Source organism: Homo sapiens, chromosome 7 (assembly GCF_000001405.40).
Source record: "Homo sapiens chromosome 7, GRCh38.p14 Primary Assembly".
Lineage (NCBI taxonomy): Eukaryota > Metazoa > Chordata > Mammalia > Primates > Hominidae > Homo > Homo sapiens.
The window spans coordinates 84,994,859-85,012,657 of record NC_000007.14 but is presented as its reverse complement, the minus strand read 5'-3'; the positions used below and the strand labels follow the sequence as shown (position 1 = coordinate 85,012,657).

The 17,799-nt window shown below is 32.6% G+C and overlaps 1 protein-coding gene across 7 annotated transcripts in view, besides 1 other annotated feature; it reads left to right on the top strand.

The window, feature by feature from the left end:
* The window catches only part of SEMA3D (semaphorin 3D), a 254,691-nt gene extending 237,586 nt beyond the window's left edge, over positions 1-17,105 (top strand). For all 7 annotated transcript variants that reach the window (NM_001384901.1, NM_001384903.1, NM_001384902.1 and 4 more), the window contains 2 exons: positions 5,717-5,856; positions 12,793-17,105. In NM_001384901.1, the coding sequence (NP_001371830.1) occupies positions 5,717-5,856; positions 12,793-13,218 (566 nt within the window). In that variant the 3' untranslated portion in view covers positions 13,219-17,105. The remainder of the gene's footprint in view (positions 1-5,716; positions 5,857-12,792) is intronic.
* Positions 12,012-13,211: an enhancer, noted in NCBI's record as "BRD4-independent group 4 enhancer chr7:84628763-84629962 (GRCh37/hg19 assembly coordinates)". NCBI's record gives its function as "activates an origin of replication core promoter dependent on BRD2, P300/CBP, MED14 and CDK7 cofactors, and independent of BRD4, by STARR-seq in HCT116 cells {active_cell/tissue: HCT116}" and the evidence as "EXISTENCE:reporter gene assay evidence [ECO:0000049][PMID:35650434]".

The window sequence follows — 17,799 nt, the reverse complement described above, 5'->3', positions numbered from 1 at the left end:
GTTCTGGAAGAGCAACAGGAAATTTTATAAATCAACCCCTGTCTACGTGCCTAATTGAATAATCCTTTGTTATATCATTATTTGTTTCATATGTCTTTTAAAATTCCTAAACTGTAGCTTTTGTTTCTTTTTTACTACCTTATCCATCCTTATAAAGTTTGAAAACTGCTATTAGAGATAAAACAGGATATAACAGAAAACATTTGGACATTTAGAGTAAACTCAAATAGACCTCCCAGAAGTCTGGTAAAAGTGTAGGTCTTATTAGAAAAAAGTTTTTAGGTAGTCTATACTTTATTTATATTCACCTATCAAATCATATATTCACTTAATCAATAAATATTTATTAAGCGACTTCCATGTGCATGTAATTGTCCTGGGTATACTATGTGACTAAGAAACTCCTTAGAGAGCTTATGAATCTTTTGGGAAGTGTCATAAGGCATAATTAGTGATAGGGGAGTTTAGTGAAAGAGAGATCACCAAAAGGCTGTATTGTTTAGAAAAATTAATCACAGAATAGAAGATCTTGAAAGAAGGAGAAGGCCAGTGTGGGGGAAAAGAGAGGAGGCCTGGTGAGTGAGTCTGAGAACAGAGAAAACAAATCTATAAAAGTATGTATTCCAGAGCTGCAGCTACTTTACACTCTCAAGCTCTGCCTTAAGATCGAAAATATATGCACACACACACACCAAACACACACACATGCACACACACACGAACAGGTGGAAGAAGAACACATTTATCACAATGTTACTAAACACCCTACCAGTGATGTAAATAACCCAAATTTCATAATCTATAACTGGTGGTCTGGTAGTGTTTGCTTGATTTAAAAACAAAACAGTTATTTTTAACTTATAACTTAATTCTTCTGAAAAATAAGCCTTGGTCCAGATTAGTGTGCTTGGCTTCTTGTTCTAATGTGTAGGTGATTCATTGTGATGTCCGTTATTTTAGTTAGCAATCATTACTGTGCGATACATATGCAATTATCTACATATGAATATGAAATTTATCGGGGATGATTATAGGTATTGAGGATACAGCAATGAACAACAAAGAAAACAACAAAAGAATCTGTGCATTCACGATATTTATATTCAAGAGTGTGTTGGGGGAGAGAGCAGACAATAAATACCAAAACAAGTAAAATAAATGCTATGTCAAATGATAAATTTTACAAAGAAACTGATACAAAACGTAGTTGCTGCCTTAGGCACCCACAATTTTTGTCTTCACTTTACCATACCCTATTCATGCTATAACCCACTGCACACAGTCTTTTCTAATAATCATCATCATCAGTCTATCCAATCTATTCTTGTCAAGGTCACCGGCAATTTCCTCCTTGCCAAATCCAACGGCCAATTTTCGGTTCTCATTTTTACTTAAGCTCTAACTCCCTCTTTTTTGAAACACTTTCTTTTGCCTTCCATGCATTTGTGTGCTAGAGCCAGTTCATGTGGCCTCATATAAGTTGATTGCTTAAAATTTTGAAATTTTGTGAGCTGATTTTAAACCACTGAAAGCTTGAATCAGACATGGTGGGAGTATTTACAACAGCAAAATCAGCAAGCGCTACAAATTACGTTATTTGTTGTTTTGTTTTGTTTTCAGAGAAATGATATTCCAGCATACCTATGTGCCCTTGTACCATATCCTTCTGGTTAACCTCTTACCTTTCAGACTGCCTTCTGAGTGTTCTTAACTTTCCTTTTCATCTCACCTTTTAAATATTGGAGTGTCCCCAGCCACTTTTCCATTCTCTGTCTACTGACTCCCTAATACTGTCTATTTCAACACTATCAGAGGCTATTTCACTCCCAAATTCATAGTCCAATTCTGAACTCACCCTTACGTACCAGACACAGACACTTGTATGCCTACTAAAGAGCTCCACTTGAAAGCCTAATTAGCATTTCAAACTTATGTCTGAGAAAGAATTCTTATTATCTTCTTCAAGACTTATTTGTTCAGCAGACTTTCCTATATTAATAAATTGCACACAATTCACCCAGCTACTTATGTCAAAAAGCAGCTAGGAGTCACTTTTATATTATTTTCTTTCTTTCCCATCCTATCACCAACCTCTCAGTTAGTCCTTCTGGCTCATGGCCAAGCTTTCCTACTTCTCATCATACCCACAGATGCCAGCCTAACTGAGGCCACAGTAGCTCTTCAGTAGCTACTTCACTGGTCTCTCTGCCTCCACACTTGAACCACTTCTGTCTGTACCCCACTTAGTTGTATACCCCACTTACTAGCCAGAGTCATCTTTTTAAAAACTTCAGTCAGGGCATGTCACTCCCTTACTCAACATTTTTCAATAGCTTCTTAGAACAATTGGTGAAAAACCGGAAAGCTTTCCTATGGCATGTAAGATGCTTCTTGACCTGATCGCTAGTATATTCTCTGACCCTCTCTCACATCACTGTTGCTAGATTCACTTAGTAGCTTTCTCTTTTTCAAAAGCATCAATGGGTTGCTGCCTTATGTATGTTTGCATTCATTGTCCTCTGTACCTGAGGAACTTGTTTTTCAGATGTTTACTTAGCTCCATCTTTTTATATCAATTAATCTTATAGTTAAATGTTAATTCTTCAGAGACACCTTTCCTGATCATCTCATCTAAAATACATTTTTTTTTTGCCCTTGGTATTTTCTCATCTCCTTTATTGTTTTGCAGCAGATATTCCTTTTTTATTCATTTACTTGATTACTTTGTCTATGTCACTAGAATGTAAATTTCTAGAGGGCAGTGAATTTCATATTCGTCCTGTCATATTATCCTAGCACCTAAAATGATGTTAGTGTGTTAGGCACACAATAACAGTTGTGCAATAGACAGGTAAATGGAAGGATATTCAGATGGATAGCATTTGAGCTATACCTTCAGGAGAAAGTTAGATTTTATAAAGTAAATGAAGTAACAATAATTAAAATCAGAAAGACCTCACATAGATTGGGTAAAGTTTGTGAAAGGGTCTATGTGATTCTATTAATTTTATTTCTTACTTTATAGGTGCTAGGAGCTATTTCATATTGCTCAGAAAAGTTGTTTTTTTTTTTAAATAAAAGTGATTGACACCTGTATAGAAAATTGATTGGAGTATGAAACACTAGAGGCAAATAATCAATTGTGGGAGTTAGAGTAGAGATTGTAATGATATTTACAAATTAAATGACTTGTTTCTAATCCACCATAAATGTGTGCTGCATTTTATTAGAAAGTCAAGTCTTGAATAATGGGCAAAGATGTTTCTTTTCTTCTTTATTTTCTTTCATTATTGCTTTAATTGTTAAAAGCTACAAAATTGCATGATTATCAGTGACATAAAATCAGCAATACATGCAGAAAAATAGTTCAACAACATTAAACAGATCAATCTTGCACTTTAATGACAAGCTATATATTTATTATAAAGAGGTATTCTAGGCATTTTACTATAAAAATTTTTTTGACTGCAATCTAGAGGAAAAAAAAACTCCACAATTATCTTACATGTAATAAGAAGCTATTTTAACTATTTCAAAACACTATGGTATATAACTTTTACACATTTAAAATTTAGGTCATGATAGAACAAAACAAGTTGAATATTCCTTATCTGAAATGCCTGGGACCAAAAGGTTTTTGGATTCCGCATTTTATCAGATTTTGGAATATTTGCATATACATAATGAAATATCTTGGAATAGGACCCAAATCTGAACACAAAATTTATTTATATTTCATATACACCTTATACGCATAGCCTTCAGGTAATTCTGTATAGTATTTTTAATATTATTGTACATGAAACAAAGTTTGTGTACATTGTACCATAAGAAAGTAAAGGTGTTATTTTCTCAGCCACCAATGTGGACAATCTGTGGTTGCATGGCATCACCATCATTCCTGACTCTGAATTTATATGTTACCAATAAGCAATCATTTTCTTACACTTATTCACACATAAACTGTGTGTTGTGTCCCTGCCTTTTGACTGCAACTATCAAGTAGAATTTTCCACTTGTGGTTTATGTCTGTGCTGAAAATGTCTTGGATTTTGGAGCATTTTGGATTTCAGATTTTTGAATTAAGGATGCTTAACCTTTGTGTATGATAGTGTGTGTATGTGTGTGTGTATGTGTATATAATATGCATACATCTATGTACGTTTAAAAACTTTTAAAGTGGAAAACTTAAAATTCAAAAGTGAAACAAACATTATTGGAAGTAACAATAAATTCATTTTCATTTTCAGTGAAACTGATGCAGAGATGTCAGACATTATTTCTATTAATTTGAAAAAAGAGTTCAGATAATGAGCTCACTATTACTTTTCCAGTTGATTTCACCAATTTATCTTTTACTAAATTGACCAATTCTTTGGTTAAGTCAGTCTAATTGCATTTCTCCTGAACCCTTGCCCCATATCCCAACAATCAACCTACATCGTCCCCTACTTTGTTGACAAAATCCCTTTCTCAGGAAAATTGTATCTGTTATTATAAGATGGTGCATGTCTTTCTTTTCCATGACTGGCACCAGTGATCTTTCTGTGCATTAGGAATTTATTAACTGTAAAAATCACAGCTATAATCTGTTGAATTGGTGGAGATAGTTGATAGACTACAGGTTTTAAATGGAATCCACACATTTTGAAGGTTAGATGAGGTTAATTCATAATGGTGTCAGCATGCTTGACTTAATCCTTGCTGATAAAACACAAATAAATTCAAAATTAGTTTCTTGAAAAGAAGCCTAACTAATATATGTGCAATTATGCCATTTGCTGCTCATTTGTATGCTTAGGTTTAGGATTCACTTGGTCCCTTAAACCTTACTCTAGTTGATGTCTATAGTGCTAAGTAAGCCAATCTGTAAAATTGAGATATCTGAATATATGATGAAATAGTGCATATTTGGGCCAAGCTGAGCAGCTGTCATTTTTTATTTGATCAAATTTGAGCTAGAGCTCTTAGATCACACAAGGGACACAGCCTTTGGCTACTCTAGATGGAATGTATTTCAGATGGTGCATTGATTTATGAGAATAAGGTGTCTGAGACACTGTTCCTTTAAGCATCCTAGTAACTATCTCATAGCAAATGTATATTGGGTTTAAAAAATCCCTCAGTATAAAAAAGAAAAAAAATGGTAGATTAATACAGATAAGGCCCAGATATTGAGTATTAGTGCATCTGGCTCATCATCATCATCATAGAATTTTGTCAGGTGCAGATCACTATAACTTACTTTTCTGATATCAAAATTTTCTGTTATCTGATCAGCTCTGTGGACCAATTCATGATAGAAATTATCTTTAAATTAAAGCAAACTGCCCCTCCAGAACTATCTACAAAATTGTTTATATTTTATATTAACAAAAAAGTATTAAAGCACTAAAAGATGCAAAAGATTTATTCAGCTCAAAGAAAAAAATCTCAATATATAGAGTTTGATATTATGAACACTATTTTTTAAAATCAAGTGCAAATAGCTAATATATTGATGAAAGAATAAAAATTACAATACAGGGATCAAATTTTAAAAATCAATCTGTTGTGTAATATTTGTCTCAGGTAACAATATTATAACATGAATTTCCTTTCTCTTTAATAATGTATATGATTCTTTCCCCATGGCATCTGTTCTGAATCAGTCTGTTTTCCCATTGCTTTTAAAATCAGGTCAAGGTTAATCTCTTATTCCATGTTTGCTTTCCAGGCATTAGTCATGAAACTGCTGATGAAAAGGTGATTTTTGGCATTGAATTTAACTCAACCTTTCTGGAATGTATACCTAAATCCCAACAAGCAACTATTAAATGGTATATCCAGAGGTCAGGGGATGAGCATCGAGAGGAGGTAAGCTGTTGTCATCAAAGAATACTCACTTTGAGGGAAATAGTGTACGATTGAGAGATGTTCAACTTTTAATTCTGTATGCTACTCTCATCATTATTTGATTAAAAAAAATAACAGGTTTTACTCACTAACACCAAAGGTAACAATAGCTTTGAGATAAGAATAGGCCAACTTCACACAAATGTATTCGTAAAATATATTTGAAAGCAGACTGATTTTTTTAAAGAAATTTACATTTTTTTTCCAAATTCCATATTTCATAGATTGCCTATATTTAGGAACAAATCCCTGACTAATAACAAGAACACCGTATTTTTCTTCCCACAGTAGCACAGTGACTACATTTTAGTTCACATTGTGTTTAATTTAGATCATGAAATGAAACATTTTGAGGGTTATATTAAAACAGAAATATCTATGTTTATCAAATTATATGAGCAAATTAGATAAGTATCCAGACATGTTAAACTAAGGACACTATAATGAATAATGGAATGAACACAGGATTCAGAACTGCATATCTTGAGTTGAAACATGGTCCTTAAACCTTTGGTAATGTTCCTGAGCCCCCAATTTTCTAAGTGAACAAAATAAATTCAAAAGTTACTATAAAATTAAGTGCAAAATGCATATGAGAATGTAGAATTTCAAAAAAGAGGCTCTTACAACTGTAAAATATGCATATAAAATTACAGATACCCTATTAGTGAGGGTATTTTACATGTGGATCAGGAAAGGGTACTAATCATGTGTTTGGAAAATACTGGTTCTACCTTTGGCTTGACTCCTGAGAATTCATGAGCAGATCATAACTTCTCTAGAACTGAGTTTCTCTCTTATGTAAATAAATCAAATTTCTCTAAAATATCAGCCTTATTGAAAAGTCTATAAACATTTAAAATAGTACATGTAATTAAGTCAAACATTAGTACATAACAGTGGATCTCAACCTCCAGTAATTTTGTTTCCAGAGTGCCAATATTGGGCGATGTCTGGAGACATTTTTGAACATCACAGCTGGGTGGGTGGGTGGCCAAGTGGGTGCCCCTGGTGTGTACTGGGTAGAGGTCAGAGATGATTCTAAAAATCCTACAATGCACAGTCCCTCACAGTAAAAGAAAAATCTCACTCCAAACGTGAATGCTGCTGAGAGGTTAAGAAACCTTCAAGTAAAAAAATCAAATTTTATCATAAGAAATTAATTTAAAGATATAGCTCTACTGTTACATGAAGAATTTAATATAATTCTCTTCATCTGACAGCTACAAGAATAACTTTTTCTAAATGTTAACTCTTTACATACTTAATACAAAAATAAAGGAATAATTTCATGCTTTGTTAAGTCAAATTTCGCCAATAAAACTAGATTCGTCATCATTCCTGACTTCTATAAGTCCTAAGATTATGGCAGATTCATAGTTACACTGAATATTTATTTTAAGGGTCCCATTTTTTACCTATATATTGAAATATTATTTGATACAGAAATGATTATTTAATTTCAAAATATAAGGCATTTATTTACTATCCAAGAAATATTGAAAGAATGATACTGAAATTTTTTAACTTGCAGATTTTTTGTTACATTGCAATGTTTTAATCTTAAGTGTCACAAACCAATATTTTGAATTTCATAGCGAATAAAGTTGGATAATTGCTTTTCAGTTAAATATAATTCTTTAATAAATGGCTTTTTTCTTCATGGGAAATTTAATCTGATTTTTAAAAATATGTGGTCCTCTGCTTGAGTTCAGCTCTCAGCTCTAGATACTTACATTTGCCTGTGGTTGTTTGCACTCACATCTTTCATTTTCTTGAAAATTCTGTGCATTACTTTAATTTACCTTTTAAAAGTATATTATATATTCATAATGGTACCATGCTCCATGAATTTCAATGGAGCAGAAATACTTATCGAATTTTACTTAAAAGAAGTATCTTTGCTGTAATATTTCAACTGGTATTTTCATTTATCTTTGTAAATAGAGAGTTTCACATTGTCCAGGGTATGCAATACTGCTTCCTGAGCTGAGGAAAAGGGCAATATCCAGATTATACTTGAAGCATTTTTCCCAGCAGGATGCCTTCTGCTTCTTACCCATAAGGTCACAGTTTGGAATCTTTCCTCCACTCAAAAACAGCCTGCGGGAGGGACCATGATCTCCTGTGGCACAGAGGCTGTCACCAGGTTATTCTCTGCCAGGAGGAGAACATTTCCTTACTGAGCTGTTTCACAGTTGGGTGCTGTACGGGAGGTCATGAGTCAGTTATCTGCTGACTTTCTTATAAAACTGTTCTTAAAATTGATGATGTTTATGCTATAACTAGCAAGTCAATTGGCAGTCCCCAGGCTTCTGTTGAACTTTTGGGATCTGAATAAGTAAACAAGGCCATACTATATTTTCTCTGTGCATTTTAATAACATTTTAAAAAATCTTCAAATACTTGCATTATTCCACTTGTAAGCCTTATTTTATTTTTGTTCTTTTTATTCTAAAAGCAATATAAATGATTTTAAAATTACAGTAACACATAAAAGAACTATGAGGCCACTAAGTGTAGATAAGCATAAATAATATTTTGATGTCTATTCCAGCTTTTTTTTCACTCACCATTGCACTGTGAGCATTTTCCATTATCATTTAATGTCACTTCCATGTTTTTTCTGTCTCCCACGCATCCTACCCTGATGCCGTAGTTATCCATAGGTATTCCAGGTGTTCTCTCACTAGATCATGTTCCTGCTTAAAATAATAATAATGAACTTTGTTATATCTGAGTCTTTCTCTGCTTTCTAACTATTTTCTTAGGAAAAAAATCTTAGAAGTAAAATAAATAAGTTAAAGACATTTGTTATCTTTATGGATTTTGATAAACAACAGCGTATTGCTAATTTCACATAAAAATCACTGTATTAGTGTCTGTTATGAATCCCTGAGGCAAAATTATGGTTCACAATTTAAGAAAATCTTTATCAGTTTAATATGAAAAAATGTATTGCATTAATATCTACTTCTTTGAATATTAGTGAATGTGAACTTACCTTCTTATGTGTCTTGGTTGTTGGCTTCGGTTGTATTTGGTGAATTGTCTTGTCTGTCATTGCTTACTTTATATTGGCATGTTTATTTAATAATAATTGTAATGTCATTTATATATTACAGATATTAATAATTTAATGTTATACATATACATTTATTTTATTTTACATTTATTTTGTTTCTGACAATTTCTGACTTTCTGACACATTTTATGTTTTATATAGGCAAATCTGTTGATTTATGGCTCTGTGATATCTCACCTGTTATGCTTAAAGACTCCTTCCCCAATGAGACAGCAATTATATATTTTTCTAGTTATTTTATGATTTTTTTACATTTTGCATATTGTATTTACATGTACCCAAAGATAGTAAATTAATCTAGTAGTTATTTAGGTATGTGTATATTTGATTTTTTCTTTTTAATAACGAGCTCATTGCTCCAGCATCCCCTTTAGTAAGTTTTCCCTTTTCTAATGTTTACTTAAAATATTAATTGTCGGTTTTGTGGTATAATAGATGGATGATATACAGTGTCATGTAAGTAAACTCTGATAAATTTAAAAACATGTATACAAATGATTCCATTCCAGTTCATTTTCCTTTCTTCCAAATTAAATAAGAAAACTTTTCAGTCTATTTCTTAAATACAGAAAAATTTTTGCAACAGTTTTGCAGACATTTGTTTTCTCACACAAGGAGCTTTCTTTATTTTTTAATCCTAATTTCCCTCTAGTAATATTTTGTGTTTGTTAGAGAAAGGGGATATTTTTGAAGCCCTGATCTCTTCCAAGGCACGTGCAGTGGTTTTACTATGAAAGAACTGACAGGTGAATTATCTGTAAAAGAACTACTATTAGGCTGCTATTATAAGAGATAAAGTCCCTGACCTTTACCTGCTGCTTAATACTTAAATGTCCTTTGTCCCTTCCATGTTACTCTTCTCATGTTAGATGAATTGCCCTTCACTGAAGATCTACATTTAATAATGCCAGTTATATTATCCTTGTTCACATTAGGCAAATGGATAGTTGACCCCAGCTCAAACGTGGTTTTAATTTGTAAAGTTGAGCAGTTTTTACTTATCACTTCTAGAGTGGAGAAAATTCCAAGAGTTTAAATCAATGGCCAGAGATTACATTATCTCTTTGTTGAGGAGCTGAATTTTCTAAATTGACTGTGCTGACATTTCACTGTTGAGATACAGTCTGCATAATGCATCCTATTTCAGCAAAGAATGAAAGCATTACAGAGAAAGAGACTGGAAAGTAGGCAAATGTTAATCAACTACTTAGTTTCTGGGTCACAGATTTTTATCTCTAAATTGCAAAAATTCTCTGTAAATATATCTATTCAAAATGTCTTTTATTAGAGCTGCCAGTTTACTGAAAGCATATTATTGAAATTTTAGCAAGAAAAATAATAGTTAAATGATCTAACAGACATTAGTTAGACCTAGAAAGCTGAAAATTTATTAAATCAAGTATGATATCTGTAGGTCAAAAACCACAGAACAAATCCAGCACTCCACGGAAGAAAAGAAAGTTGAAAGATCATGACCGTGTAATGGAATGCCAGGTGTTTATGGAATCCTGAGTCCTGTGGGGACAGAACTAGAGGGGAAAGGATGGAAGGGAACCAGACCTCAAAGTACAACAACATAAACAGGATACAAAAAGATAATAGCAAAAGTAATGATGAAGTGTTACACAATATGGGTGAGATCAAGTCATAATTTCTTCCTGTCAGAAGATTAAAGAGAACAATAAAAAGTCCTAGTCAGAGCTGTGATAATCTCTAAAAGCCACATTAAATGTAATTTAAACATAAGCAAGAGTACCAGTTATGTAAAGGAAATCTAGAGATGAACTAGAAGTGGAGATATCCACTTTGATTGTCATGCTAATAACCTCAGGCCATTTTCTATTAAGAGAATTACAGTAATAAAGGCTTCAAAATATTACCTCTCAAGCAGCATGGCAGTAGTATGTAATGTTGCTAATAATACTTCACATTTTAACCTTCAAAGAGCTTTGCTTTTAATCCCCCAAACACACCATATGCTGTGCCACCAACTTGATAGATGGGAGACCAATGGGGGAAGAAAAATGAGTCATCATAGGAAACAGAGTAGAGACCAGAAGGTTAGGTTATGAAGCTAGCATTTTGAGACCTAAAGTGTATTAAATTTTAAAAAATTACAATGAAATTATCTAAGGGAAAAAAACAATTATACGTAGTGTATTAAATTTGAGATTGTCAGTTATGTTTAAGATTGGCCATTTAGAACTCTCCCAATTCAAATTCACATTTATTTTAGGCATGAGACTTCTATGGTTTCTGAGAATGTAAATTAATTCAAAGTTAGTTTGTATTACAATAGCATTTCTAAATGTCTGGGCTTTAAGAATAAATCCATAAGAAAAAGAATACCACATCCAGCTTACCAAATAGGCAACATAAGAGAAACAAACAAACAAAACTCTGATGGTGTGGATTCAGTGCAGAGCAAAGGCAGGCCTGGAGACCATTCAGCCTCATTAACCAGGGATCTGAGCTGTGACCTGCCTTTGGCCTCAAATGGTTCCCCGCCAGCTGCACTTCTCTGGCACAGAGGGTGGCTTGCCATATACTTGTTAGTTAACTGGGCTGGTAGCCAGAGATGTTTCTTTTCCTTTTCTCATATTTCCAGAATTGGGGAGATTTTTTCCTACATATTTTTCACATAAAGATGCAGAGTACAATCCACCCACTGTGAATAAATTTAATTTAGCCATCTTTATGCCTCCTTGATTTCCATCATCTAAAAGTCTACAATACAGGGGCAGATGTGTAAACTGGGAAATCTTCCAGAACTTCTTTGTTGCTGTTGTTGTTGTTATTCCACTTAATGCTGAACCACTCAACAATACTCCACATTAAGCAGGGCTCTTTTGTGGGTAAACATGCCTCTAGTTTTACTGAAGATAGGTTCATTATTCACACCATATCATGAGCCAGTCAAGCTTAATGTTAGAATTGTCTTTTAGTAATAATGCTTCAAAGGCTGGAGAGCATCACATTTCAGTAGAAGTTCTTTGTGTTCATTGTGCTTTCTCACACTTGAAATCACATTACCATGTCATAGCATACAAAGGCATGGCAAATATTTCCACAAATGACAGTATAAAGTATCACATATATATACAGTATGAAAATTCAATCCACAGCAAAGAGAGAAATTCAGCTTTCAATGTTGCTAATCTTCTGACTAGGGTCCTACTCAATTACAGCTCTAACGTCCAAAAGACTATACCCGTACCTTTGGCTTTGACTTTAAAGACGTCATCATTTATGGCTTTCATATGCTACTCACAGAACGTATTTGGTGATATCTGGAAAGCAGTAAATTCCACTTGGAATTATTGTTCTATTCTACATTATAGGTAGTAGCATGTACTGAAGCTCGTTTTCTATACAATGTGTTCTATACAATTGTAAATGTTGCATTCTTGCTCCACATTTCAGGTGCTAATTTATGATCTTGATACAGTAATTTGTATATGAAATCTCTGTAAAGAAGGCCACTTGATGGTTTCCAGTTTTTCATTACTTTTCACAGTTTTTCATTCCTATCTGCATATTGAGAGAAAAAAAATAACTGCATTCCAAAGGTTCAGTTAGACTTACTAAGATTCAAATGTGAAAAATTAAGGATATAGTTTGGGGGCTATTACTTTTGTTGAATTTTTTTACTCTTTTTAACTATGGCTGACAATATTATGCTTGATGACAGAGACAGAGAGACAATGAATATGTCTTTCATATTCATCTAAGTAAAACTATGTAGCCTGTTTTCATTTGCTCTTAGCTCTCTCTGTGTTTAATTTATTACCTACATTTTTCCAATTCTGCAGTTGAAGCCCGATGAAAGAATCATCAAAACGGAATATGGGCTACTGATTCGAAGTTTGCAGAAGAAGGATTCTGGGATGTATTACTGCAAAGCCCAGGAGCACACTTTCATCCACACCATAGTGAAGCTGACTTTGAATGTCATTGAGAATGAACAGATGGAAAATACCCAGAGGGCAGAGCATGAGGAGGGGAAGGTCAAGGATCTATTGGCTGAGTCACGGTTGAGATACAAAGACTACATCCAAATCCTTAGCAGCCCAAACTTCAGCCTCGACCAGTACTGCGAACAGATGTGGCACAGGGAGAAGCGGAGACAGAGAAACAAGGGGGGCCCAAAGTGGAAGCACATGCAGGAAATGAAGAAGAAACGAAATCGAAGACATCACAGAGACCTGGATGAGCTCCCTAGAGCTGTAGCCACGTAGTTTTCTACTTAATTTAAAGAAAAGAATTCCTTACCTATAAAAACATTGCCTTCTGTTTTGTATATCCCTTATAGTAATTCATAAATGCTTCCCATGGAGTTTTGCTAAGGCACAAGACAATAATCTGAATAAGACAATATGTGATGAATATAAGAAAGGGCAAAAAATTCATTTGAACCAGTTTTCCAAGAACAAATCTTGCACAAGCAAAGTATAAGAATTATCCTAAAAATAGGGGGTTTACAGTTGTAAATGTTTTATGTTTTGAGTTTTGGAATTTATTGTCATGTAAATAGTTGAGCTAAGCAAGCCCCGAATTTGATAGTGTATAAGGTGCTTTATTCCCTCGAATGTCCATTAAGCATGGAATTTACCATGCAGTTGTGCTATGTTCTTATGAACAGATATATCATTCCTATTGAGAACCAGCTACCTTGTGGTAGGGAATAAGAGGTCAGACACAAATTAAGACAACTCCCATTATCAACAGGAACTTTCTCAGTGAGCCATTCACTCCTGGAGAATGGTATAGGAATTTGGAGAGGTGCATTATTTCTTTCTGGCCACTGGGGTTAAATTTAGTGTACTACAACATTGATTTACTGAAGGGCACTAATGTTTCCCCCAGGATTTCTATTGACTAGTCAGGAGTAACAGGTTCACAGAGAGAAGTTGGTGCTTAGTTATGTGTTTTTTAGAGTATATACTAAGCTCTACAGGGACAGAATGCTTAATAAATACTTTAATAAGATATGGGAAAATATTTTAATAAAACAAGGAAAACATAATGATGTATAATGCATCCTGATGGGAAGGCATGCAGATGGGATTTGTTAGAAGACAGAAGGAAAGACAGCCATAAATTCTGGCTTTGGGGAAAACTCATATCCCCATGAAAAGGAAGAACAATCACAAATAAAGTGAGAGTAATGTAATGGAGCTCTTTTCACTAGGGTATAAGTAGCTGCCAATTTGTAATTCATCTGTTAAAAAAAATCTAGATTATAACAAACTGCTAGCAAAATCTGAGGAAACATAAATTCTTCTGAAGAATCATAGGAAGAGTAGACATTTTATTTATAACCAATGATATTTCAGTATATATTTTCTCTCTTTTAAAAAATATTTATCATACTCTGTATATTATTTCTTTTTACTGCCTTTATTCTCTCCTGTATATTGGATTTTGTGATTATATTTGAGTGAATAGGAGAAAACAATATATAACACACAGAGAATTAAGAAAATGACATTTCTGGGGAGTGGGGATATATATTTGTTGAATAACAGAACGAGTGTAAAATTTTAACAACGGAAAGGGTTAAATTAACTCTTTGACATCTTCACTCAACCTTTTCTCATTGCTGAGTTAATCTGTTGTAATTGTAGTATTGTTTTTGTAATTTAACAATAAATAAGCCTGCTACATGTAAAAAGAACCAAACTCACAATATTAACATAAACATCTTTCATATTTTGTTAGTACTTTCAAATGTTTTCAATTTGACTTTCCCTCTGAATATGCATGGTGTGTTTCCTGTCTGTTTAAGCAGAACTCACCTTTCCTTCTTGTAACACAGAACCCTTAGCCTTCTTCTGTTTTGCCTTTTCACGCCCTTTATAGTGTGAAATGAAAAATTAGTCACTTCCTCACATGGAAGGCAGCTTTTCAGAAAATAACAGACATTGCTCGTTTCTCATGCATTCTACATATCTTGAAAGAAAAGTCTGTGAGAAAACCCTGTGATTAGAGGGCAACTTAATGCAAGATCTGTGGCTCTATGTTGAGAGCATTCTCTCTCTGTTATTTTTATTTTATTTGCATTGCTTACCTATCTCAAAGTAGTCAAACTGATATATGAGATTGAGTACTCCCTTTTGATATTATACTGATGAATATTTGTAGGTGTTTCACTATAAGGAACAGCTAAGGAATAATTTTAATAAAAGTGAACCAGAACAAATCACTCATTTAAAAAGTAATTCAGAAGAACAGTGTGGCATGATCAGACTTCTAATTGAATAGCGTAACAACAGTGTTTGTAATTATAGATTTGCTTGGACAAAATATTCCAGGAACTCATAGCGAGCTCAAAGCAATTAAGTGGGAACATTTTTAATTTAAAAAAAATTTCCAAATATTTGTGGGTCCGACAGTAATGATCAAAATATGAATGACTTTGGAAAATTTACATGAAGCTCAAGTGTTAGGATTGACTTATGAAAATAAATTTTATTTCTATCCAAATTTGAATGTCCAAACCATTTTTTAGTTACTTCTTTCTAATCCTAGTTATTCAGACAAAATTTGGAAACTTATTTTATGACCACATCTAATATTCTGGCTGCTTTGGATACAATACTCTTGATTTATGATAATTAGTTAAAATATATTAAAAATATTATTAGTAAAATAAAATTTCACACAATAAAAAACAACATAGAGTACACATATTTATATGTATTTTTAAAGATAAAGAATATCTAAAATGTGTTTTTTTCTTAGCTTTTTAGTTGTCTAGAACATTTAGAGAAAGAGTATGAATATATTAAATCCACAAACACACTATATACTTCCTCACCACTGACTATTTTATCAAATTTGCCTTAAAATAATGAAAAAGAAAAGTATAGTTAATGGTTTCAAATATGCTAAGAAATTGACTCTGCGGAGGGGATCTTAAAATGCCTGTTTACTCATGTTTTCGTATTTTTCTTGTCTCTAATACTTTTGTCTTTGTCTGCCTTGTGTGTTCTTTTCTGAATTTCATTTCAGCAATTTATGCTGCTAAATAGAATCCCGCATGTCTGCATTCATTTACATTCAACTTATTGTAAATTTTGAGATTTTATTTAGAAATGAATTGTCTAATTAATTTATGTAGAGTCCTTTTTTCCAAAGAGCTCAAAACACTACATCCACATTATTGACTTTTGGAAACCAACCAAATTACTTAAGAAATGGAAAAGTAGTCACAGAGAAATTTAGTAATTTGCAAAAGCCACAACAGTAGTGGAAGAATTAAAATTCATAAAGTCTCATCATTCTGTTGGCTAAAATAATGCTCTTTACAATATGCTGGCTACAAAATGGTCTTACTCTTGAATTTTGCTTTTGGTTCATATTTTGGTTCTTCATATTCTAGTATGTTTTGTTCCTGCTGAATTTTACAGACTCAGCTAAACAATAAGTTATTAGTAGTCACTTGTTTTCATTATCATAATTGAATTTCCAAGAACAACTTGATATCATTCAGCTGTCCAAAAAATAATAAGAGCATTCATTAAATACTGATTTTCTTAAACTTAAATGTTGTATTTCATATTTATTTATATAATACAAATGGAAATCAAAACTGAAATAGCCTCCCTTTAGAATGTCACATTTTTCTTAGAAAACATTTTGGAATTGGTTAACCTTATTGGGAATGGATAATTTAGAAACAAACCAAAAAAAAAAAAAGATATTTGAAGTGTTTTTATAGGAGATGTATTTTTATCATAGTAAATGATCACAATTTTAAATAATTCATCTTACAAGTCAGGTAAAATAAAATCGATTCCCAGATTCCATACATTAGGAGTGCAAAGACAGGATCATACACATGACTTATACCTCTCATTTAAATATTTTATAGTATAAAGTATTTATGGAAAGGGTTTGAGATAGATGATTTTTGGGAAAGGGCAAAATGTGTCAGATGCCCTAGTTAATCATGTAATTTAATTCTGGTATTGTGAGTGGTTAGCAATCAATTTTGAATTTATAATTCTGCTATTTTAAAAGAAATGTAGTCTTGTAGTATGAAATAATTAAAAATTGTTAAATGTATATTTTGGTTGTATTATAATAAAATGCAAACATGACTGTTCTATGATTATAAAAACTACTGGTTTGTGTGCAAATTTTGTTTTCAAACCCCAAATACAGTAAATTTTATATATAAAATAGGACTAAAGAAAATATAAGATGCAATATTTTCTGAAATGTTCAGTAGATGTATTTTACACTGTAAGTATGCAGTAATTTCATTTATGAAAGAAAAGAATGTGTCCCACCCAATTTGATACCATTATATTGCTAAGCTTTATTGTGATTTAATTTAGGTTTTAGTGGATTGAGATAAATGTTATTACCACAAATAACTACTTCTTTTAAAGTTCTCAATTGCCATCTGATTACTTAAAAATACTCATCTACATGTTTAGCTGTATTGGAGTATAATTTATTAAAGAGTAAGGTATGGATTTTGTCTTTAATTTTGCTTCATAAAAACATTTTTAAAATTTATTTTACAGACACATATTTCTTGCCAATTTGGTGCACACGTGAAGAATATTTTATATGTGCAAATAAATAATATAATGTCCTACAAATGTGGTACTCAAATAATAAAGAGAGAAACCGTGTTGAGAACTGTCACTGACAAGCTTGTAACATAAGTTTACAGTAATAGTCTTTAAAAGAACAAATAATTTTCACATAAAACACCTAAAAATTATTACTTCTTTTGGGCTACTACAAAAATACAGTAAACTGGGTGGCTCATAAACCACAGAAATGTATTTCTCACAGTTCTG